Source organism: Homo sapiens, chromosome 15, assembly GCF_000001405.40.
Source record: "Homo sapiens chromosome 15, GRCh38.p14 Primary Assembly".
NCBI lineage: Eukaryota > Metazoa > Chordata > Mammalia > Primates > Hominidae > Homo > Homo sapiens.
In genome coordinates this window covers 48,280,969-48,305,974 of record NC_000015.10, presented here as the reverse complement: position 1 = coordinate 48,305,974, position 25,006 = coordinate 48,280,969, and the positions used below count along the sequence as shown (strand labels likewise).

Below are 25,006 nucleotides of genomic sequence, written 5' to 3'. Positions count from 1 at the left end.
AATTCAGGAGACACCAACATGTAGTGGAAATCAAATCATGGAAATGGGAGGGACTGCCCTCAAAGCACTAGTTCCAAAATCTTGCAGATCATCAGAACATACAGGTCCCTCAGTCCCACTCCCAGAGATTCTAATTTACCAGGGTTATGGTGGTCCCCAAGAATTTATACTCTCTTTTTAAAGTTTCCATCAATGGCCTGGTATGGTGACTCATGCTTGCAATCCCAGCACTTTGGAAGGCCAAGGCGGGAGGATTGCTTGAGGCCAGGAGTTCAAGAGCAGCTTGGGCAATATAGTGAGCTCCTGTCTCTACAAAAAAATTTTAAAAGGTTAGCCAGGTGTGGTGGCGTATGAATGTAGTCCTAGCTATTCAGGAAGTAGAGGTGAGAGAATTGTTTGAGCCCAGGAGTTTGAGATTATGGCGAGCTATAATTGCACCACTACACTCCATCCTGGGTGAGAGAGCCAGACTTTGTCTCTAAATAATAATAATAATTATAATAAATAAAGCTTCCATTGAAATATTTCTAAAATTGAGTGTTAAGTAAAAAACTCATAGGACAATGCTCCCAGTATGGCACTATCTATGAAAGAAATTTTATGTCTATGAATATGTCTATATTTGTGGGGATGGGAGCAGAGACAGCAACTGAAAAAGTGATGGTGAAGTCATGGTGAGGAAAGGGTGGGGACGCTGTTGAGAAACATGCACAAAGTGAGGAGACAGAGACAGTTGGACACCAATGCACATGACTGTGGAATGTTCTCCTTCTTGCTCAGAAACCTGAGTGTAGACATGGACATGATGGGTGGCTGGATCAATAGAGTTGGGTGAAGAAAAGGACAACAGCAGGGCACCAAGGGCTGGATAAATCTGCTGCTATGTGACTGTAGCCCCTATCCTTTTAACTTTCTGCCCTCCGAATTTATTCCCAATACAGTTGCTCTTGACCTCAAGATCTCTAGTACCTTAGAGCCACCCAACCCTTAACCTGGAATCCAAGGGCTATACTCAGCCATCTTCTTGCTACTAGCCCTCTGGAAATTCAGTAACTCGGTTTCTACTACTTTATATGGTCCCTTCGGTACTACCCAGACCTTGTTTAATGAAGAGCTTGTTGCCCTAACAGCTAGGAGTGCTGTCAGCACATAGACTTTCCCTGCCAGGCCCTTGGGGGATTGCCTCTGCTGCACAGAGCTGCCCCATGCACCCCCCTGCCCCAGAGGTCACACCTCTTCCCAGGCAGCCCCCATGCAATAACTGATAAAAGCAGAGTACAAAAGCCTGGCCCTTTCTGCCCTGCTTGGGATGACTCTCTGTAGGGTCAGCAGAGGCTGTCGTTGGGCCTGCATCCCAGCTCACTGCTTACCTCTATGTTTGCTGTTTCTTCCCCTCCTTCCCTCAGGTGTTGATCCCCAGGGGATCATGCTAAACTTTGTCTCAGAGTCTGTTTCCCAAGGAGCCCAACTTGCAGCAGCCGGGAAAGAAACAAGAGCCAGAATGTCCTGTTAAAGAAGTCATATTACTTCTCACCTTTCCCAGAGACCCTCAAGTATTTCAGAGAAGTGTCAGGCCCACATGAAGCTGAGTTTAGGCATTTGGATTTCAGGTCCATAGTGCTCAAGAGAAAGGGTTTTATCAAGGGCAGAGTTAAGCACAGTGGCCCTGGATTTGGAATAGGAATATCCAGCTGCCTAAGCTTTGCTGATGGTCTCCCTTATTCTCTGGTCATCCTTCTGAGCAGAGAGGCTGGGTTAGGAAGTCCTGATCTTGAATCCTAGCTTTAAGCAGCTGCAGATGAGGCCACTGACTGAAATCTTCAGGCTCACATCTGATACACCATTGCACCACAATTTTAGTGACTGAAAGTAAAAACATGACCTAGGCCAAAGCAATTGAATTTGAGTGCTTTTATTTCAGGTTCATATTTTCCCATATATGTTTTCAGTTAGAATGAACAGTCAAAACATGTCAAGGAGAAAAATCAAGCCATTCATCAGAAAATCAATATTTTCATTGGTTTGTCAATGTGATTATGTATTATAGGTATACTAACAAAAATGAAAAAAATCAGTATCTGTATATTCCAAATTTTACAAGTTTTTCAACTTCACATTTTAATTATTCTTTTAAATCCATACAATCACTATAGAAAGTAACTAAATATATGATTCAGGATATATTTCTTAATAATGGTTTGAAAATTTGTAGCACTTAGTTTTCAAGTAGTCATCTATAAAGATTTCATCTGTACTAACCATTTAATTAGAAAAAAATATGCAAAGTAATGCCGTGATGGAAATTTCAAAATATTTGATAGGGAGTACAATTAAAGTTTATATATTGAGAATAGAATATATTTCATTTTATTGGAGTATATGGTGTCTTCTAATCTAGTTAATATACTTTTCAGGCAGCAGCAAATTTAAGCCATATGTTATCAATGATTGCTCAGATCACTTTAAGTATATAATCTGTTACATTAAATAACCTTATTTAGGTAACTGCTTTGAATATTTTGTAGACTCAACTACTTCTTAAAGTTTTGAGTTACTGATTTTTAAATCTGCTTTGGAGGTATAAGCCTCTGAGGGGGCCAAGCATAATTATGTTCCCCAGCCTATTGGTCTTTTCCTTTGATAACCACCTGTGGTTACTATGCCAGCCTGTCAATAAGCATTTATTGAGATCCTGCTGTGGGGCTGAGACCTATACCAGGGCTGAGAAGCAAACACTCAAAACAAAAAATTAAGAAACAAAAGGTTAAGTTTGTCTGGAGAAGTTTACAATCACATTGGTGGTTTTCATGAGCATAAGCCAACATGAGTTTCCTTGATTTTCTTGTTTATCAACAGCAGTGACAAAAATGTTTTTCTAGGGATAACATTGGCTTTGACAACCCCTTAAGCTGAGAAGAGAAAAAAAAGCTCGCATTAACTGATAAAAATTATGCAATGTATGTAGAATCTGGTAGGATCCTCTCCAGAGGTTTGCATATCCATAGATCAGATTTACAACATAAAGTACTGGAACATGTTTCTTAATTATGCATTACATTAAGTTAAAATGTATTCCAATCTTTCATGTTTTAAGAGTAAAATGTCAAGACATTTTTGTGATTTCCTCTAACTAGTAAGACAGGTGGGAGGTTCTTTGTGAGGATTTCCAACCAAGCCATATACAACAAATCCGATATGGATCCCTTTCTTGCCACGGGAAGGCTCCTAATGACATGAAGGAAAAATTTAAAAATGAAAGTGAAAATTACTATAGGTAGTAACGGCACTAGTATTTCTGAGCTATTTAATAACTGGCAGCCTTAATTTTTTTTTTTTTTTTTTTTTTTTGAGACGGAGTCTCGCTCTGTCGCCCAGGCCGGACTGCGGACTGCAGTGGCACAATCTCGGCTCACTGCAAGCTCCGCTTCCCGGGTTCACGCCATTCTCCTGCCTCAGCCTCCCGAGTAGCTGGGACTACAGGCGCCCGCCACCGCGCCCGGCTAATTTTTTGTATTTTTAGTAGAGACGGGGTTTCACCTTGTTAGCCAGGATGGTCTCGATCTCCTGACCTCATGATCCACCCGCCTCGGCCTCCCAAAGTGCTGGGATTGCAGGCGTGAGCCACCGCGCCCGGCCGGCAGCCTTAATTTTTACGCCACCCCAAGATGAAAGCACCAAAATTATTTTTACTGTAGATAGCAAACTGATGTATTTTTCAGGTAATACTATCTATAAACCAGAAAAACAGGCTTAGGTATTGTAAAGACAAAACAAAAATGTACATTTTCACTTTCCTTTAAATAGGGAATTTGATCAGCTAATACCTACCCCCGTTTTTGGTGTAAATGATTTTTCAAATAATTTAAATATCTTATATTTGGGAAAAACCTCAGAAACCATCTATTGGAACCCTACCACCCAATCCAGCAGACCATTCTACAATGTCTTTGATGGATAGTTGTCCAGTCTACACTACGTGAAGATATATTTATCTTTATACATAGGAGTCAATTCATGAGGTATAAATGTGAAGTCATTAGAGATTTTCTTGTTTAAATACCAACCTTTAAGTAAACAAACATACATTTTCAGTAGACGCAACCCTAACATTTGTAAGGCTAGAGCATAAAGAGTGAAAATGGAAATGGCTCTGCCTTTTTCTCCTACCCTGGCCTCTTCCTACAGTACAGGGAGCCTCATGAACCTGCCATGGGCACAGTGGCTCAGGGACATCCACTCAGGGAAGGGGCCCGTGAGCTGTGGTCGCTGACTTGTGGCTGTTAGGCAGAGAAATCCAGGGTCTCAGATTCCTGGAGCATGGTCTTACTAGATGGGCACACGCCTCTTCATAAGGCATGGTGGACAGCAAGTCCAAGTGAGGCTCTCTGATGCTCATGGGCCTGAGGGGTCAAGGTCTCAGAGTGGCACTTACCTTCCTTCACTGTCTAAGAATCCCACGTGTTCCCCCCCCCAAAAAAAACACAAAAACAAAACAAAATTCCCACCTGAAGAGTCCCAAGCTTTTAAATGGATTAACCCATTAACCCTAAGATTTATTTCTAATGTTCTTCAATGCTTGCAATGATACTTACAGGACAATGAGATTAGCAGCTCTGGAGTGCTCCTGTAAGAGTTCATTCAGTCGAACTTGGCGGTAACTCTGTGGGCAACATTCAGATTTGTTGAGTACAGTTCTACCAGAATTATGAATGAGAATTTATTTTCTTAAATCATGAACAAGCAGAAAATCTCATCTTAAAAAATGTATAAAAATTACAATTACTTTTTCAGGCTTAGAAACTTATGGTGTTTTAAAACCTCATGAGAAATTTTAGAAATATAAAGAATAAGACACAGTACAAAGATTTTCATTGTGCTATAGTGGCTTATTAAATTCTAGGGAGAGGGGAAGCAAACAACATAGATAACACTAAAAAGAAGGTGTTTTCTCCTACCCTGGCCTCTTCCTACACTACAAGGAGCCTCATGAACCTGCCATGGGCACAGTGGCATATGCCCATGCCTATGCACAGTGGAATGGCCAGTTTGAGGCAATAGGTTTTCTGTTAAAAAAGAAACCGATTGAATCTTTATACCAATTTGATACTCTAAGAACATAAATTATATTCTAGTCTGCCTTTCTTTAAGCTCTCTGAATATTCTGTAAGCAGAGGGGGCTTTCAATTAAAAAGCCACCAAAAGACTCACTTGGAAAAATAACCACTTTGCAGTGATGAGAGTAATATTTTTTATTGTATTTCACTGGTTCAGAAACCAAGGCTCAGATGCATGATTTGCTCAATTATATGAAAAAACTTGGTCAGAACCGGGCAGTTTGTTACACACAGACTTTATAATTCTAGTTCAGTCTCTTTTTTTTCACTAAATCTAAAAGGCTTTTAGCGTTTCTTGCTCGAATTTTTTCAAGTTCAGCTCCTAATGTGGTTTATGTAGGGCATGGTGGGCAGTCAGTCCAAGCGAGGCTCTCTGAAGCTCGTGGGCCCCAGGGGTCAGGGTCTCAGGGTGGCCCTTATCTTCCTTCACTGTCCAAAATCCCACATGTTCCAGTAAAACAAAATCCTACCTGAAGAGCTTTTAAATTGATTAACCCATTTATCCTAAGATTTCTCTCTCTCTTTTTTTTTTTTTTAAACAGGGTTTCACTCCTATCATCCAGACTAGAGTACAGTGGCACGAGCTCAGCTCACCTCTGCCCCCTGGGCTCAAGTGATCCTCCTGCCTTCGCCTCCCAAGTAGCTGGGACCACACACACGCTACCTCACCAGGCTAATTTTTGTAATTTTTTGTAGAGGTGGGGTTTTGCTCTGTTAACCAAGCTGGCCCTGAACTCCTGGGCTCAAGCAGTCCTCCCGCCTTAGCCTCCCAAAGTTCTGGGATTACAGGTGTGAGCCAGTGCACCCGGCCCTAAGATTTCTTTCTAACATTTGTAAATGCCTGCAATTATACTTAAAGTACAATGAGATTAGCAGCGCTTGAGTGCTCCTGTGAAAACACTCAAGATTTTGTAGTTTAGAAGTTCTTGTGGTCCTTTTTCATTTCCGTCCAATCCAGGTGTCAATTCTTCTACTTAGTTGTTGACCCCCTGCCCTTTGCATTATTCTCATTATCACCAACTTCATTTGGCTCAGGACAGAAGGCACAGATGGGAGCATCTTACTGGGCTGTCTAGAAAGGCTCACCATTTTACATCCATCTTACAATGTGTGCTGGATCCAGCTTCCATATTCATTGTTCCAGTCACATCATATGTTTCTTCAGATGCCTTTATAAGTTTTTCATAGCCATCTCTTCATCAGGTTAAAAGTATTTCTTATTGTGTTAAATTGTGAGTCAATCTAACTTTATCAACTTTGCACACATATTGACTCAAATTATTTTAGGCTGATGAGTCTGTCTCCTGCTCTTTAAAATTAAATTTGAAAGGAGACTTCACAATATGTACCAATAACCTATTTTTTAACTTTTAAAATATAATTGACCTTATGGGAAAAAATGAAAAAGTTTTCTAAATAATCGTATCCAGTAAATGATTGAAAAGCACTTGAAAAATGCAGAAAGCTTGGATCTTGAATAATGACATTTGATAATAAATATATTGCTTCTTTGTCTTTAAATCAACTACTGTTTCCTTTCTCAGCTAGTTAGACAGCAAAAAAATTAAGAAAGACAAATCCTTACCTTTTCCTTGACTGCTTCCAGTTCTGCATCTGTAATTTTCCACGGAGTTTCTCTTTTTAATTTCTCAGCAGTTGTTAAATCTTTGCAGCTTTCATGGAGACGATATGGTTCAATCATCTCTTCAAAGACTTTCCAGCTAAAATTTGAATTATAAAGGAGGCCTCACAGTGGGAAACTAACTCATTATTTCACAGATACTCCAGGTGTGACTGGCTCTGCTGGCTGTGGAATCAGAGCTGAATATCATGCAAATCTTTTAAGAATTATCTTTGCAGGGAATTTACTGTGAGTAAAACCATGGCTACAGTACTCCCTCCCTACCCCAGAAAAGGCCTTAGAGTGTTCAAGGCCTTGTTAGCCTATTAGGTATTAGATCTTCAATATTAACACACATACGCATACATACTTACAATATTAACACATATACACATAGGTAGTAATTGTTCTGCAAAGACATTTTCTGCATAGTGTAGTCGAAGACATAGTTGTAATGTAGATACTTTACCACACAAATGAGTTTCCACTTGCTTATTGTACAGACTCTATGGGAGACATTTATCAATTAATGTAGGAAATGGATATGGCTACCCTCACCCTTAGTCCACATGGCAACTCCCACTCATGGCAGGAGGCCGCGGGCAGGTAGGAGGAGAACAGCAAGGGCTCCCACAAGTTTAATGATTGTAGAACAATTTGGACGTTTTCTGCAAATAATGCTCCCCTTGTCCTTTTGTTGTTTGATGTTGCTGTCTGAGATTTTCAAATGAGTATTATTCAGGTTCATGTTAGGAGAAAGAACAAAAATCAATAATGTTTTAATGCCTAAAAATCTGAGGCTATGTTAGAACATTTAAAAAGAAATCGCTGAGGAGAAAACTAGCAGCTAAGAGCTATAGAACATTTTAAAAATTACTTATAAGAACCTCATAAGATTTATTTTTAAAAACAATGACACAAAGTAAAACTTATAATTTATGGCAGTAGTTGTCTCTAGTATGCTACTTTAAGATGATCTCAAGTATGAAAAATTTCTTTGGTTTTATATAATGTAGCTTAGTTATAATTTAGTAATTTTAGAATGAATAATAATTAGAATTGATATGCTGTTAAGTCAAGAAGTGAAAATATGAAGTAATGAGTTCAATTATCTCACCAACTGGCCTGATTTAGGATTTGCAGATAAAAGTGCAGAGATTACAAAGGAGCAGGATTGTCCCTACTAGTGAGCCTTTGTTAAGAGACTGAAAAGATACTTAATGCATTAGGCTTCTATTGCATTAACTTATTTAGAAAGGTAGGCAAAGACAGGGAAAGAATAAGACTGATAGGCCCTATTATTCTTTCAACTTTTATTTCCTATTTCAACAGTGTCGTGCCTTTAGAGACCTCTAGGAGTGGTCATTACTATGGAAAGGTGCTGGCTTTGGAGAGTAGGGTCTGGGTTCTCGCTCCAGCTCTTGCATTGTCCTCCTTGACCTGGATATTCTAGGCTATAAAAGGGGAGTAACAATGGCTGCTAGAAACTGGCTTGAGAGTCACTGTGAGTATTTGGGTGACAGTGCTCTGAAAAGCATGCAGTGCCTTGGAAAGGCAAGATATTCACTTTACTCAGCAGCCACAGGGTTGAGATTAGCAATGGAGAGGCTTTCTGTTTAAGCTCTTCGTATACTTATTTTGATCAGGATGAGAGTTTCTTTGCAGCTCAGCCCAAATCCTTGTTAGAAAGCACAGTACAAAAATAGTTTCCTAAGAAATAGAAGGTGGAGTAGAGGTTGCTGGTTGTCTCCCCAGTATCCGTACTGTGTTTTCCTCATTGTACTTTCAGTGGGAATGGCTCCATGCCATTGTCAGCCAATCAGCACAACTCTATGTCTTCTTCCAGAGTAATTGGCCAGGTGGGCACATAACACAGGTAAACTTGAACCAATAAGCACCCACAACTATGCTGACCACAGTAATGTCTCAGTGGCTTAGGTTAGTGAAACCTGAAAGGAGCCCTGGACCCTGAGCTCAGTAATTTGGGAAGAGACAAACTTTCTCTCCTACGGAACATACATGAGCGAGTAGATAGTCCTGGTTGCAATTGACAGTCATCTTGTTTTTATAAGTGAAATCAACTTTGATAGATGATTTTATTAAAAAAAAGTAAAGTAGGGAGACTGAAAGAGAATCAGTCCTTGATTACAAAATTAACCTAGATCAAGCTTACCCTGAAATCCAAAATATGATTTTATTTTTAAGTTATATGTGAAAGTAATTCCTATTGTCTAAATCACTGTGAGTTAAGTTTTCTTTTACTTGCAATTGAAACATGCTAAGTGACACAGGGGGTGATAACGGGGCTGTATTTGCCCAGTTTTGTCTTTGCACTCTTACTGCTCCTTCTCTGTGTTCATCTTTGATTGGTCTATCCTTTGGATCATCTCTGAGCTGGCCATTTTTCATTCTCTTTGCTAGAGGATCCTGACGTAGCTCAAGATTTCTATTTTGAATCTCATTAAATCTGATTTTTTTCTTTATAAGTACTTTTAATTGACTATAGAATAAGCCAAGTGTTACATGCTATTAAATATAAATAAGAATTCAATTTTTAAAATTAACTGCTGCCTTCCTCATCCTTGTTCCTCATAATAAAGTTTAAAAATTTTTAAATTGCATAATATTTTCCCCCTAAGTCCACATAAAATTTCTTCTCTCAAAGTAATGTACCAACTGTTTCTGGGACTACTCTAGCATCTTTAAACTAAATTACCTACTTAATTGCTTCTAGTTTCTCTTTGATTTCCACATAAAGATTGTTGTCTTTTTGTCCTATGACTTTTAATTCAGTCTATACAATAAAAAATAGAATTTAAGCACAAGAGCTTTTCAGTTTCTCCTGGGTCAATTATTTTCTCATTAACTTTGCTTTTGTACTCCCTTTCACCCTTGCCCTACCATGTTTATAGATAATGTTTCTATGATAAAATTCCTCCATCAAGACTTACTGATGTTTTATGGGTAGTCAAAAGATTTATTAAAGGCAATTTGAGGGCATTTAAAATTAGCCTCCAACATGGAAATCATTGACAAACTATTTTTGACATTGTGTATCACCCGGCAACCAAGAAAGAATAGTGAGTGATCAGGAGATAGTTGTTAACAGTAGGTAAGGGCTGCCCGGCCGAGGTCCAAGTGGGAGCTGAAATAGAGCCAGTGTTCTATTCTCTAAGCCTTAGCCCCTGGGTCTGGGGCTGCATCAGCCCAGAGGAAGAGTTCTCTTTCTCTGATTAGACCATCCAGAGGAGTTGCCTTAATTAAGGTATTACAAATGTGCCAGACGCGCTACTAGTGGCCATCCGTGAGATTTATTGAATGACCATACTGTCTTCTACATTAGGGTTACTTTCAGGTATTGGAACAGCCATTGCCAACATCAGATATGGACTGTTTTATAAGGTAATATGGCATCACTATGGTAGGAGGCTGAAGAGAGGAGGATGGCTCTTCCAGCACACTCCTGGTGGCCTCCTGTTTCGTCAGCAGGGTATATTGGCCACAAGGATTCTTTTATTTCAGTAAGAATGGATTTTTTTTCCCTGCATTTTCCTTAATACCTTGAAACAACAGAGAGAAAATCTCCAAAATTTTGAAAACTAATTTATTTCCTGACAAAAAAATTAATTCTCTTTATTCCAGGATAATGAGGACATGTGACAAATACCAAATTAACATGGTGGACATCAGAAGAGGACATCTTGGGACAAAGGTCACAGTAGTAAGAAGAAAAGTGTCTAGACTATGAAAAGTATTCAAAGAATAAAGAGGCTTGGTTAATGGAAGAGGTACATCAGCCTCCTCAGCAACAGGACAGAAAGGATGGCTATGCAGGGTGGTGACCATGGCAGCTAGATAGAGACTATTATGAAAGAAGGGGAAGGAAACAAGGACTTGGGTTGAGAAAACCAGATTGACAAGTAAAGAGACAAAGAAATATAGGGACAAATTAATCAGCAAACATTGATAATGCTTAGCTAAGTATAAGACCAACAACAGCAAGGAGAATTTGGCTACAAGAAGTGGGTGAGGCCAGGTGTGGTGGCTCATGCCTGTAATTCCAGCACTTTGGGAAGCCAAGGTGGCAGGATCAATTAAGCCCAGGGGTTTGAGACCAGTCAGGGCAACATAGTGAGACTTTTCTTTACAAAAAAAAAAAAAAAAGCTGGGTATAGGGGCTCATGCCTGTAGACCCAGCTACTCAAGAGGCTGAGGCAGGAGGATCTCTTGAGCCCAGGAGTTAGAGGCTGCAATGAGCTATGATTGTACCACCTGCAACCTAGCCTAGACGACAGAGTGAGACCCTGTCTTAAAAATAAATAAATAAATAAATAAATAAAATAAAAAGAAGTGGGTGGATAATTCATGCCCAGCATTAAGCTAGGGCTTATAGGAAATCCTAAGTCAGTAGAAGACACAGTGACTACCCACTAGACAACAGAAAATGGCCCTATCTTGCAGAGCACTGGCCAGCTATGCCCTATTGCTAAGTGGCATGTACTAAGGAATTGTTGGACTTGCTGTTGTGAAAGATGATGTATTTCTACCAATTAGAGCCATATGATGAGCTTGTTTGATTATATCACTGCAAATGCCAAAATGCAATGACATAGAGAATGGAAGTTCTTGAATAAAAAGTGGAAGGCTACCAGAGATTATTGTATGACAACCCAGTTCATATCAGAATGTTAATTCCATTTATCAATGAAAATTATATGTTCTTAATTTTTCTTATGTATTTACAACTGTAGAAATATAAAAATGTAAGGCAGTAGAGTATGATGTAAAGAAATATCACAAAGTAATAATCAGTTTAACACTGTCGATTATAGCTTTCTGATCACAGTTAATGTATTTTTCTTTTCTTCTTCTTCTTTTTTTTTTTTTTTTTTGAGATGTAGTCTTGCTCTGTCGCCCAGGCTGAGGTGCAGTGGTGCGATCTCGGCTCACTGCAACCTCTGTCTCCCAGGTCCAAGCGATTCTCCTGCCTCAGCCTCCAGAGTAGTTGGGACTACAGGCACCCACCACCATACCCGGCTATTTTTGAATTTTTAGTAGAGACGGGGTTTCACCGTGTTGGTCAGGCTGATCTCAAACTCCTCACTTCAGCTGATCTGCTGCCTCAGCCTCCCAAAGTGCTGGGATTACAGGCGTGAGTCACAGTGCTTGGCTCCTTTTTCTTTTTTTCTTTTTTTTTTTTTGAGATAGGGTCTCACTCTGTCACCCAGGCTGCAGTGCAGTGGGGTGATCATGGCTCACTGCAGCCTTGACTTTCCAGGTTCACATGATCTCACCTGCCTCAGCCTCCTGAGTATCTAGGACTACAGGCATACACCACGAAGCCTGGCAAATTTTTGCTATTTTTGGGGGTCTTGCTATGTTGCCTAGGCTGCTCTGGAACTCCTGGGCTCAAGTGATCCTCCCGTCTTGGCCTCTCAAAGTGCTGAGGTTACAGGCGTGAGCCACAGCGCCTTGCAGTTAAGGTGTTTTGTAAAGCCATTTTAACTGACCCATCTCCTTGGAAGGATCATGAATAACCTCAAAGAATATGAAATTCAAGTTTGTTTGATCAGTAGGAATGCATCTTAAATTGGAATAATTTTCAGTTAGTTATTAAGCTCATATAGAATAGCAATAAATCAAAGGAAGGAAAGAGGCAAGAAGCCTGGAAAACTGTGGAATTATAATCCATCAAGAAGTACAAAAGGAAGAAGAAATGATGGTCAACAGAAAAGGGAAGAGATCTGACAGAACCGTGATAATCTAAGCCATTCCAGGACCTTCACATCCCTCTGTATGATTCCTCTTGGAGGCCCCACTCCACATGAAATCAAATGTATTAAATTACATCTGAATGCAACAGAAAATATGATTTTAGACTATAAATAATTGAAGACATTTTATAATTGTTAAATGATAACTCTAAATATTTAATTTAATTTATAATTGGCCATGGTTTTTAAACAATCTTCTTGCACCCTTGCAAACTACTGTGAAGATCTAACCTACAACTGTTTTCAAATATCAGTGTTGCCAGGTGTGATGGCTTATGCCTGTAATCCCAGCACTTTGGGAGGATAAGGCGGGCAGATGGCTTAAGCTCAGGGGCTTGAGACCAGCCTGGGCAACATGGCGAAAGCCTGTCTCTACCAAAAAATTAGCCAGGTGTGGTGGCATGTGCTTGTGGTCCCAGCTATCTAGGAGGCTGAGATGGGAGAATGACCTGAGCCCAGGAGGCAGAGGTTGTTGTGAGCTGAGATTGCACTGCTACACTCCAGCCTGGGTGACAGAGTGAGACCCTGTCTCAAAAAAAACCCCACAAAACCCCCAAAAATATCATTGTTATAAGCTGAATGCTTGTGTCCCCCCACCCAAATTCATGTGTCGAAGCCCTAACTTCCAGGTGATAGTATTTGGAGGTGAAGCCTCTGGGTGGTAATTAGGTTTAGATGATTTCATGAGGGTAGGTTCCCTATTTTAGGATTAGTGCCCTTATAGGAAGAGAAAGAGACAGCAGAATTCTTTCCACCATGTGAGGACATAGCAAGGAGGCGGCCATCTACATACCAGGAAGAGGGCCCTCAAAGGGAACTGAGTAATTTAGCACCTTGAACTGGGACTTCCCAGAACTTCGCCAGAACTGTGAGAAATAAATGTCTGTTGTTTAATCCACCCAGTCCATCGCATTTTGGTATAGCAGCCTGAGCTAACTAAGACACTAATGGAGTTGATAAATATAACAATTAATGAGGATTAAAATAATGTCACATTTTGAAGATATTTAAATGATTACTTTTATTTTGTCATTTTCTTTTTTTTTTATTTTGGAGCCAATACATTTCTTTTCCAGGCTTCAAATAGTTTTAGACGTCCCCCCAAAATTCATAGGCCTTCCCTGTTGGGCCTTTAGTGCCTAAAAGCTAAAGTGGCCCTTTAGAGTTGGTATTGTCAGTGTGCCAAGAAGATACAAGCTATTTCCATATATTCTCCATCAGAGCTCCCCATCCAGGCTGCCCCACGAGTAACTCTGAATAACAAAACTTGCCCTGATGGCTCCATTCAGAATAGTATGACCTTGCACTTCGTGCTGCTCTTGCCACCATAGAAAACAAGAACAGGAAGGGCAATTCTAAAATACTAACTAATCTGTTTCAACAATTCTCCCTCTCAGGCTTGTCTTCACTGTAAAAGCTTTCCTTCCCTTTAGAATGTACTTGTTAGTTCCATGTCATGCTTATTTGAAGGCTCTTCTTATTAGATCCTATCAAGAAGTCGCTGCAGTAAATACATAACATTTTTACTGTTTGATAATCAACACAAAAGAGAATGAGAGAGTACCATGGGTAATCAATGTCTCTTGTTAAATATTTCATACCTCTCTTTGTTTGGCCTAATGTTGATGTCACCGATGATATGGATGTCTGCAAATTTTATCCTAAATTTGCTCAGAAGGGAAGCCATTCTGAAAATATAAAAGGAAAATACTTCATCATTGCATATTTAACTATTTTCAATCAAAGAGTTTTTTGTTTGAGTTAAGATATCAAAAGCAATCACGTCTTATTTCAGCTTAGCTTTCAGACAGAGGCTTTTTGGTTGGTGTTTGATTTTCATTACAGTACTTGATGAACGCATTAAGTGTGGACCAAGCTATTTCACTGAAGGCATAAAGAAACCCCTGTAGGTGCAGACACTGGCAACAGCCAATCCAACTCTGCATTTATGTCACAGGGAACAGAATGCAAATCTGTCCACATTTCTTATTATTTGAAAGACAGCAAGTCTTAATACTTATGGACTATTATATTGGTGATAATTTTTATAGAGTTACTGACAAGCTACTGACAAACAGTTATCATACAATATATCATAAGATGATAAATTATATGATTATATATACAAACATATATCTAAATTATATAATATATAAACATATTATAACATTATAAACCATCATATATATTATAAAACCTCACATATATATATATATATGGTTTTTTCCTGGCAACTGATAATTCTGATATAATTTCAAAGTTACAGAAAAGTTTTTAAGATAATACAAAGAACTCCCAAATTCACCAGTTGTTTATATTTTGTCCCGTTTGATTTACCATTTTCTTTGTTTCTCTCTCTTTATATTTATCTATCTATTTACTTCTATCTCTATCTACCTATCTACTCTAATCTTTTAAAGTCAGTTGCAGATATTAGGCACCTTTACCCCTAAATTTTTCAGTGAGCAGTTCGTAAGAACAAGGACAATCTCTTATATAAAGAGAGCACAATTTTTGAAATTGGAAAATTTAACATTGGTGCCATACTACCATCTAAGCCACAAAACATTTTCAAATTATACTAATTGTCCCAATAAAATATTGGCAGCTTTAAGAAATATAAAATATTATAGACATTATGTTAGTTTCCATGTTAATATGATCCTCTTTAAGTATAATTAAATCTATATAATATTAGCATACAAATATCATATTGCTTTGATTGAAAAGACATATATGCATATATGCATATATGCATAATATATATGCAGTCATACACCACATAAAAACATTCTGATCAATGACAGACTGCATATACGATGGTGGTCCCATAAGATTATAATGGAACTGAAAAATTCCTATCACCTAGTGATGTCGTAGCTGTTGTAACGGCATAGCACAATACATTATTCACACATTTGTGATGATGCTGGTGTAAACAAACCAACTGCACTGCCAGTCATATAAAAATATAGCACATACAATTGCGTACAGTACATAATACTTGATAACATAATAAATGACTGTTACTGGTTATGTGTTTACATACTATACCTTTTATTATTATTTTAGAGTGTACTCCTTCTACTTATTAAAAAAAGTGAACTGTGAAACAGCTTCAGGCAGGTCCTTTAGGAGGTATTCCAGAGGAAGCTTTGTTTTCACAGGAGATGACAGCTCCATGCCTGTTATTGCCCTGGAAGACCTTCCAGTGGGATACAGGATGTGGAGGTGGCAGACAGTGATATTGATGATCCTGACCCTGGATAGACCTACACTAATGTGTGTGTTTATGTTTCAGTTTTTAACAAAAATATTTAAAAAGAAAAAAAGAAAACAGTTTAAAAAGTAGAAAAATGCTTATAGAATAAGGATATAAAGAAAACACTTTTGCATAGCTGTACAATACGTTTTAAGCTCAGTGTTATTACAAAAGGGTCAAAAGCTTAGAAATTATGAAGTAAAAATGTTTACGGTAAGCTAAGGTTAATTTATTATTGAAGAAAAAAATATTTTTTATTCCCAGGTCCAGCTTTGAAGAAAAGTATTTTTGTATAAATTTTGTGTAGCCCAAGTATACAGTGTTGATAAAATCTACAGTAGTGTAGTCGTGTCCTGGGGCCTCACATTCACTCACCACTCACTGACTCACCCAGAGCAACTGCCAGTCCTGCAAGTTCCACTCATGGTAAGTGCCCAATACAAGTGGACCATTTTTTACCTTTTATGCTGTATTTTTACTGTACCATTTCTGTGTTTTGATATACAAATATTTACCATTGTGTCACATTTGCCTATAGTATTCAGTTCAGATTTGTAGCCTAGGAGCAACAGCATATACCATATAACCTAGGTGTGTAGTAGGCTATACCATCTAGGTTTGTGTAAGTACACTCTATGATGTTTGCACAATAGGAAATTGCCTGATACATTTCTCAGAATGTAACAATGTAGCAGTGTATAACTGTGTGTGTGTATATACATTGTTATACATTGTTATACATTATACATTATACAGTTATACATAGTTATACATTATATATATATATATATATATATATATATATATATGTCACATTCACAGCATAATACATCCTAAGAGGGAAGAGAAAATGTTAAAAATTACTGAATAAAGCCTGTCATTATTTTGTGACTTCTGGAAGTGCTGGTTCCAGGAAGGGCTCAGAGCTTAGTCCCTCAGTGCCCTGAGGGACTAAGAGCTGCTGAAGGTGGTTTTCTGGATTTCCATCAGAGACCTCTAGATGTGTCATGTTCTCAGCATGCTTATTATTCTCACAACTGGCATCAACTCTCAATGGCTAAATTAATGAGAAAGATACAGACTTACACTGTGGGATTTTTTTTTTTTAATTAAGAGTTCTCTACAGTCATCCCTTTAAACTCTTTCAAACTACAAAGGAGAAACTGGGGACCCAGATGCGTTTGGAGACTGTTGCAAAGTCCTGCAGCTCCTTGATGGCAGAGCTGGGGCTAGAACCCAGGTGCAGTCTCTCCATTTAGTTCTCTTTTACATATGCTGTTCTAAGAGTGACTGCCATGAATTAGGAGTTTTGAATTCCCACAGAAAAAGCAACTGGACCCAGATTTCCTTCAGGCTCTTCTTTTCTTGGATGCCTTTACTGGTCAGAACAAAATAAGCATTATATGAGATAACGAAGCTCCCACTCAAGACTTGAGATGAGGCTTCTGTGGCACCTTCCTTTTGGAAAGCATTTGTGACAGAGGATAAGAGGACTTGCTTGAAGACAGCGATCAGGAAAAATATGCGAATAATTTACTGACCAGATAACCAAGTAAACACGAGGCCTATCCTGGTGGCTTTGTCTTTGAGTCTATTGTGTCTCAGAGACACTTAAAGTTATTAAAATTAAAGCATTAAAGCAACAAACCTCTGAAATGACCTAACATGTGAGTGGCAAACTACTTACACAATTTTTTCTTCTTCAATGCGGTTGATCTTCCCTCCCACATAGATTCTTAATTTACAGTCTTTCCATTTTTTTCTGAGAGTTAAGATATAGGGGATAAGAAGTGTTAACCCTGGAATAAAGAATAAATTATGACACAATGAGTATATCTAAATGGAAGGAAATGAATAGCTTTATATCTTTATTCATTACCACATTGATAGCTCTTAATTAAGTTATAGTCTTTGGAGAACACAGAAATGTTATTCTTTAACCAGTATTGTTCCCATATACCTTCTCATGCAGTTTAAGTTTATCAAAATTGAAATTCTTGTCCCTAGTGTATTTTCTGAAAGTTTTTACCTCCATCATCAAACAACCACCAAACATCAATTGTGCCTTTTTCTTGTTTCTTTTTAAATTGAGTGCTGGCTTCCACCAGTTTCTGGTTGAACTCTCCCACATGCATCGACTGGCTTGTGTTAATGCTGCCATCTGAAACGAAAGAGGAATTGATGCATCTGTTTGCTTTTGAGGGCAGAAACAAAATAACTTTCCAATCAATCTAGTGATGAAAATAGAGAAAAGGTCACAGATTCATGTTTATTATACCTAAAATAAATAGCGGTATTCTTCAAAAGGCAGAGATAAAAGTCCAATCCCAGAATAATTGAGAACACCTTCAATAGTTAAATAAAATATTGACAGTCAATAAGTAAAACAGCTTTATAATAATAGTTTTTATTAAAAGACAATGGATTTTTTCAGACCTTTAGTAATCTGTCTCAGAGTGGAGTTATTATTTAGGCATGCAACAATGCTACTAGCCAGAATATCCACATTTCCCAAAATCTCAGATATAAATCACCTTAATGATATTAATATTTTTGTATTTACTTAACATGTGGTAAGTGGTTTTCTAGAAATAAGCTATAGAATCAGAAATATCCGTTCATTAGGGAATTGATTCATGAAGCACTATTTTGGTTTAAGTTCCATTCAGGTCTGGTTTATAAAATTTGCCAGGGACTGTGTGCATCTTGAACTCTATGACTATTTAGTCTCTTAGTTGGCCTGGCTTACTCTTCTGCTTTCTTTTCAAGGAATCTTGCGAAGCTAAAGTAAAGCCATTTGAGCTATTTGAATCTTTGTGAATTAGATGAAAAAAAAAAAACCTTAGAAAATATGGAAATACAAAACATCTTTACTTGAGTTATAATTAAGGGTGTATATAAAATAGTTACAATTTTTTTAAATGTGATTTCTACCCTAACATGGATACAGTGAAAGTGTACCAGGGAACTCGGCCAGTGTTGGAACTGGACCTGTTCCTGTTTGCCAAGAGGGGTTTATTTGCCACAGCGTACGTAGCATTTCTCATATCTGTGTCTTTGAAAGTCATGACTTTATTGCTGTGTTTCAAAGTGGTGGTGTCAGCCTGGTGCTTAGAGGAGGGCTGACAGCCTCTTCAGAGCTTCCTCTCTGATCTAAGAGGTTCTGAAGATGCTTTGTTTTATCTTTTGTTGTTTCCATGTTTAGAGTCTGTCAGTTCTGAAGCAATGATCTGATATTGTTTTTACATCCCTGGGACCGCTGAGGGAGAAAAATTTATTTACAAAATGGACCAAGCTCTGCCCTCACTTACAGACAAGTCAAAGCAGCCAGAGGCCTCCTGTTCACACTCAGGTACCTGGAGGCAGGATTGGTTCTCGTCTAGAACTCAAAAGAGTTGACAAGCAATGGAAGCCCAGAGTAGTGAATGGGCCCACTTTAGAGCTGTGTTTAAACTTCTAGGTATTAAAACAGTATATAACATTATTACTTTTCTTTTCTGAACAATTTGACATGTTGACTTTTGGAAGAGTATATTTTTGCCAAAACAAGTATTGTGACGCAGAAATAAGCTTCCAGAATAAATAACAAGTCCCGCTGTCATAATAAGGACATTAATGCTTCCCTCTCTCTAGTTGGAGCACATTATTGGGCTATGACTTTGGAATTTCCCATTATTTTCCAGACTGTACCACTTAATAGAGCAGATTTAATGGATTGTTAACTTTTTTCACAGTTAAACCAAATAATTAGAAAGAAAAGAAGATAATAGTTAGCATCCAGAACAGTCTTATTTAAATATTTTCACCCTAAAAGTCCTGATGTAGCTTCAAGTTGAATTCAAACACATCATTTATGTCATTTTAAGGTGGACTGTAAGGAGTAGGCCACGGCCCATGGGGTATCCCAGGAGCTCGACAGTAGCCAGAGTATTTGAAGTGGGGCAATATCTGGATTTCCCATCATTCTCTGTGGATATATAAAACTATTATATTACAGGTGAAATTTCGTCCTTGGGCTATAGTAGGAAAGCAAACAGACAAACGATTTACAGGGTAGGAGATGGCCTTGTCGAAGGGCCTCTTTAAAGGGTTGGCGCCGGTCAACCTAGACCAGAAGCTTGCTAAGTCTCCACTTGGATCCTGCTGTTTGACTTGGAGACCCTCCCAGAGAAACCATCTTTTCCTGGCCTCACACCAGTGTATGACTTCAGTAACTACAGGACATTCGTGCATAAACAAATGCCTGGTAACATTCTGATTTTTGACCAGCAGAGGTCACTGTGGACCTCATTAAACTCAAACCCATAGCGTTTCGGGAAGTAATTTTCAAAAAACCAAACGTTTGAATCATCTGTTTATAAAATGTGTAACAAGCTCTCCCAACCTCTGATCCTTTGTCCCAGGACTGCATACCATAAGTCCACATATAAGTGTAGCATTTAGATGAAATCTACAGGTAGTGAGTACCAATAAAGTTCTAAGTCGTGCATTCTGGTTTGTGATAAAGATGCTTTTGTTGAAATCAGCGTTCCAGCTGGATACCGTATTTGCATGTACTAGTCGTATTTCAGTTCCCTGAAATGTCTGAAAGGTAAGGGTGTCTGTGGATAAGACAGTTTGGGTATTGGCTCTTAAATTTCTATCCCCTTTCCATCTTAACTGAGAAACTTCTGTTTTATGGCATGCAATCTGCTTAAGCACTATTTGACTTCCAAACCAAATATTACATTTAAAAAATAATTTTTGACAGTAAGATGGTACAAAGTACTTAATGAGGTTGATAAATGACAATAGCTGCTACCGTTTATCCATACTACCTTCTGGAGAGAAACCTTTCAGTTCCTACCCACACTCAATGCTCCCAACATCTTAGATGCTGACTTCGGACTCTTCATAGATGCTCAAATAGTGACTCATCTTGTAAACTTTTTTGCAAATTTTAAAAAGTTCTTACCTTTTTTAGGCGTTGTCTTAGTAATGTTCAACTTGCCAGCTTTTTTAAACAAGCCTCGGATGCCTCCACTTTCCTCTTCACACTCATTATCTTTGATAGTCGCTTCCAATGCTAGTCTCTCCTGTTCTAATCTCTCTAATTCCTCTGATGAAAGAAGACAAAATCACCTACTTAACTCAGAACTACAAAGTTTCTAGAAACAATCTTATAAACTTTTAATATTTAAAATGGTATGTATGTGATAAAATAATTGTTTATACATAGTAATTTTTTCTAAATGATTTTTATATATTATCTTCTAATACAAGTAATATATTTTGGTTGGGTGAGGTAGCTCATGCCTGTAATCTCAGCACTTTGGGAAGCCAAGATGGGTGTATCGTTTGAGCCCAGGAGTTTGAAACCAGACTTGGCAACATGGTGAAACTCCATCTCTATGAACGATACAAAAATCAGCTGGGTGTGGTGTGTAGTGCCAGCTACTTGGGAGGCCGAGGTGAGAGGATCACCTGAGCCTGGGAGGTAGAGGCTGCAGTGAGCCATGATCATGCCACTGCACTGCAGCCTGGGCAATAGAGTGAGATCGTGTCTCCAAAAGAAAAGAGAAAAAGTAATGTATCTTAGTAAATTGTATTCAGAAAGTTGTCACAACTAGCTTAGAAAAACAGCTCTATGTGTTAAGTTATGATACATGAAGTTACAGCATTTTTATTTGTGAGGGCAAGAGAGGCTATTTAATGCCACCCTTATTCACTACCATGCAAAAACAAACAAACAGAAAATCTTTCACACTGTAAGCCACTGATTTACTGACCTAAGCTAGTGGGTCAGATGTTTTACAACTGGAAGTGACAAAATTACAGAAGTACACTGAGTATATATCAGCCACACAACAATGCTTCATGAATTGAAACATAAAACTAGACAGCAAGAATTAAGAAAAGATAACAAAATCTTACAATAAACTCTATAGGCTCTGGATACAAATTACAATGGAAAATATCCACCACCAATTCCTTTCAATAAGCAAAATAACTTTGTGGAGTGGGTGACCAAAGTCAAAGAAATAAAAGCTGAGGTTTCTGGGTGCCTGTCAGAGTTCAAATTGCTAAAAGGGGTCTTGTGACATGTTTTAGTCTGGAACAGGAGTCAAGCAGTGCAAAATTTCCTGCCCAAGGTTGAGACACACTATCCAAGCTTTGATGTTGTATCTGGCTGCCTTTTATCTTTTTTGGATTCCGATTGTGACGAAAATTTCCTAGCTGCTATGTAATGTGCTGGATCTCTCTTTGACCTCACCCTGCACTGAATCAGGGTAAATAAGACTTTCAAAGCAGTCATATGACAGTGCTACACTTAGGAGGCTTCTTGCTTCTTGCTTATACTGGGTGAGGTGGCACTCTTGTCAGATGCCCTCATCTTATTGCCTGCTGAGAACAGAGCCTTAGAAAATGAGCAATGCTCAGAGGAAGAGGATAGAAAACCTAGATTCAGTGTTACAAAACACTGGGAGAGCTTCTGTAAATGTCAACCCTTGGAGCCCATTGCGTTATCTATCTGTGAAGCGAAGCTATACAAACTCTAGATTTATCAATTATGTACTAACTAAATCTGTCAGGACAGTCACATCCCTAGACGATGCTGCTATTCAGCTACACAGAATTGTCTGGCCCCTTTCCAGGTCTTAGCAATTAATCTTTTGCGAGTGGCATGAGATTTAAGGTCAAATCACCCATGTGATTTCCCCAAAGCTTCAAAGGTTCTCAAGATCAGCAGCTATAGAAAATCTGAGAAATTAGACTGATGGTATTAAAGCTGAGACAGAAGTTGCTTACCCCTGACTTTTGAAAGGAGAAGACAAGCTGCATTGCACTGGGGGGTCACAACCAATTACAGCTCTGCTGCTGGCTTTATGTGACATTAGGCAAGTAATTTACTTTTTCTATGCCTCGGATTTCCCGTCTGTGAAATGGAAAACTGTAACCCTTTCCTTTTCCCACCCCCCAAGCTTTGCAAAAAGAATAAACAAAGTTTCTGCATAGTGTTTTGGAGGTCCTTAAAAAACAGAGCAAGAATGGCATTCTATAGGCAGTATATTTATGCAACTTTTGGAAATGGGCCTAGTCATGCAAAACAAATTGAGTATTTTGAGATGCCTGGGAGTTATTTTAGCAATTGCTATTTATTGCACACTCTTTGGGTGCCAGGGACTGTGTTGCATTTTATTCCTTTCTAAACAACTCTGAGATAGTTACTACTATTATCATCTTCATTTTGTAGATGAAGAAACTAATAGGTTAAGTGAGTTGCCTGATATCACCCAGCAAGTTACAGGGTTCATATGCAAAGAGATCTGCATATGCTTCCCACCATGAAGACCTTCCTCCTGTGGCTTATTATTATTACTATTTCAGAGTTGTTTTATTACCTTCCTATGCTTTATCATCAGATAAACCTAAACACTCTCAGGCATATGGTGTAATGGGCTAAGTTAATCCCCCAAAATGATGGCCCATCCAACATGTCATTTTAAAAGGAGGACCCTAAAGATACGGTTCTATATGGAAGGCTGCACTAGAGCAGCAGCACTGGTACCCAGACTTTGTTGTCACTGTCCTGGATGACGGCATCCTAGCTGTTATTTTGTCTTCTGGGGTATTGCAGGGGCCACTTATGGGGTAACCTGCTCTTTGCAGTCCTCTGATGTGGCAACTGTAAGGGCTGCCCTGGGAGGGGATTCTTCTCTTTTCTTTTTTTTTGGGCAGGCTCCAGTGCGCCCTATGATTAGCCACTGGTTGCCATGCTCTTTGTCCTCTAGTTTGGACAAAGAGGGAAAGAAAGATAAATCCTCTTTTGTAATGGAGTCAGCGGGCTGAGTGAACTGGGAGCGATTCCAACAATTGCTTGAAGGTATGTGCACAGCCCATCCAGAACAGAGCAAGCTGCAAAATTGCAGGCCTGAGAGACAAAATCAAATTTTGCTCGAATGCTTTAGATGTAGCAGTTTCCTCAAAGATGATAGAGACAGAAGATTACAGAGAGTATTTATTCTAAAGGCTAAAATCAGCTTGCTTTGCCATCTTGGATTTTCAGATCCATACCATGGTGTGATTCCCATTTGCATAGTGATTTTCGCAAGTTCTTATTCAAGTTAATTCTTAATTATTCACTTGGTAGGTGATCTAAGGCCTCCTTCTGTGCACTCCTTCCTTTTCGCATTTCAACACTAAACAGAAGTGATGTTTTGATTATCTGTTCTTCTGAATGATCTATCTGGTGTACTGCTTGCCTCTGTTTGCATGCAGGGAAATTAAGAGTAGACTTTGTCTAAACATTTTTGTCAACAGAAATACTGGCCAGATGACTTGCAAAGGCATACCATTAGCCACAAGGGGAGCCAGCCAAGAGAGTATGAACGAATGGATATAAGTTGATTTCCACTAGCCTGACAATAAAAATTACTTTTTCTATCATCACCACCATCACGACTACATTTTTAATTTTCAGAAATTACAAAGCCCTTTCTACATAGTATCTCATTTGATACGAATACTGGGATGCATGCAGAGCTGGTATTATTCTCCCCATTTTACCAAAAAGGAAACTTGGGCTCAGAAAGTTCAAGTGATTTGTCCAAGGTAGCACAGCTAGTGACCCAAGTCTTCTGCTCCCAATTCTAGTGTTTATCCCTCTTCTCTCTTCTCCTTCAGTGATATGCCTTGATCGCAATAGCTGCCTGTTGAAGGAACACCCAGTCTGCATGTTTTCAAAAACCATCCCCAAATTTCTCAATCAGAATCAATCTCCTCTGTATTTCCGTAATACCTTGCTTAAACCTTTATTCCACTAACTACTATAACTGTGTGACTTGGATGTCTATCTTATTCACAATGGACTCCAGACTCCTGGAGGGCAGAACTTACGCCATTTTTCATCACCAACATTTATTGAGAGTTTACTGTATGCCAAGTACAATGCCAAACACTTTGCAGCCATCAAATTCTTTAATCCAAAACAACAAATCTGTGACGTAGGTACTATAATTATTCCCATTGGAAAATGCAAAAAGTGAAACACAGAGAGGATGGGTAACTTGACCAACATCACACAGACAAAAGATGTCAAATTTGGGATCCAAACCCAGGTCTGTCTATTCCAAACGCTATGCTTGGACCTCATGTTATCCCTCCCATGTTCTTCATGCTGCCACCCCTCCCGTTTATTACCTGGACCCATGTTTGCACCAACAGGCACTCAAGAATTGTATGTTGAAATAAATTA

The 25,006-nt window shown here is 38.7% G+C and overlaps 1 protein-coding gene across 3 annotated transcripts in view; it reads right to left on the bottom strand.

Annotated features, from left to right (window-relative positions):
* The window catches only part of SLC12A1 (solute carrier family 12 member 1), a 97,777-nt gene continuing 74,667 nt past the window's right edge, over positions 1,897–25,006 (bottom strand). For all 3 annotated transcript variants that reach the window (NM_001384136.1, NM_000338.3, NM_001184832.2), the window contains exons 21-27: positions 20,726–20,869; positions 17,801–17,932; positions 17,459–17,570; positions 14,111–14,197; positions 6,700–6,835; positions 4,593–4,660; positions 1,897–3,225 (exon numbers count right to left, since the gene is read on the bottom strand). In NM_001384136.1, the coding sequence (NP_001371065.1) occupies positions 3,090–3,225; positions 4,593–4,660; positions 6,700–6,835; positions 14,111–14,197; positions 17,459–17,570; positions 17,801–17,932; positions 20,726–20,869 (815 nt within the window). In that variant the 3' untranslated portion in view covers positions 1,897–3,089. The remainder of the gene's footprint in view (positions 3,226–4,592; positions 4,661–6,699; positions 6,836–14,110; positions 14,198–17,458; positions 17,571–17,800; positions 17,933–20,725; positions 20,870–25,006) is intronic.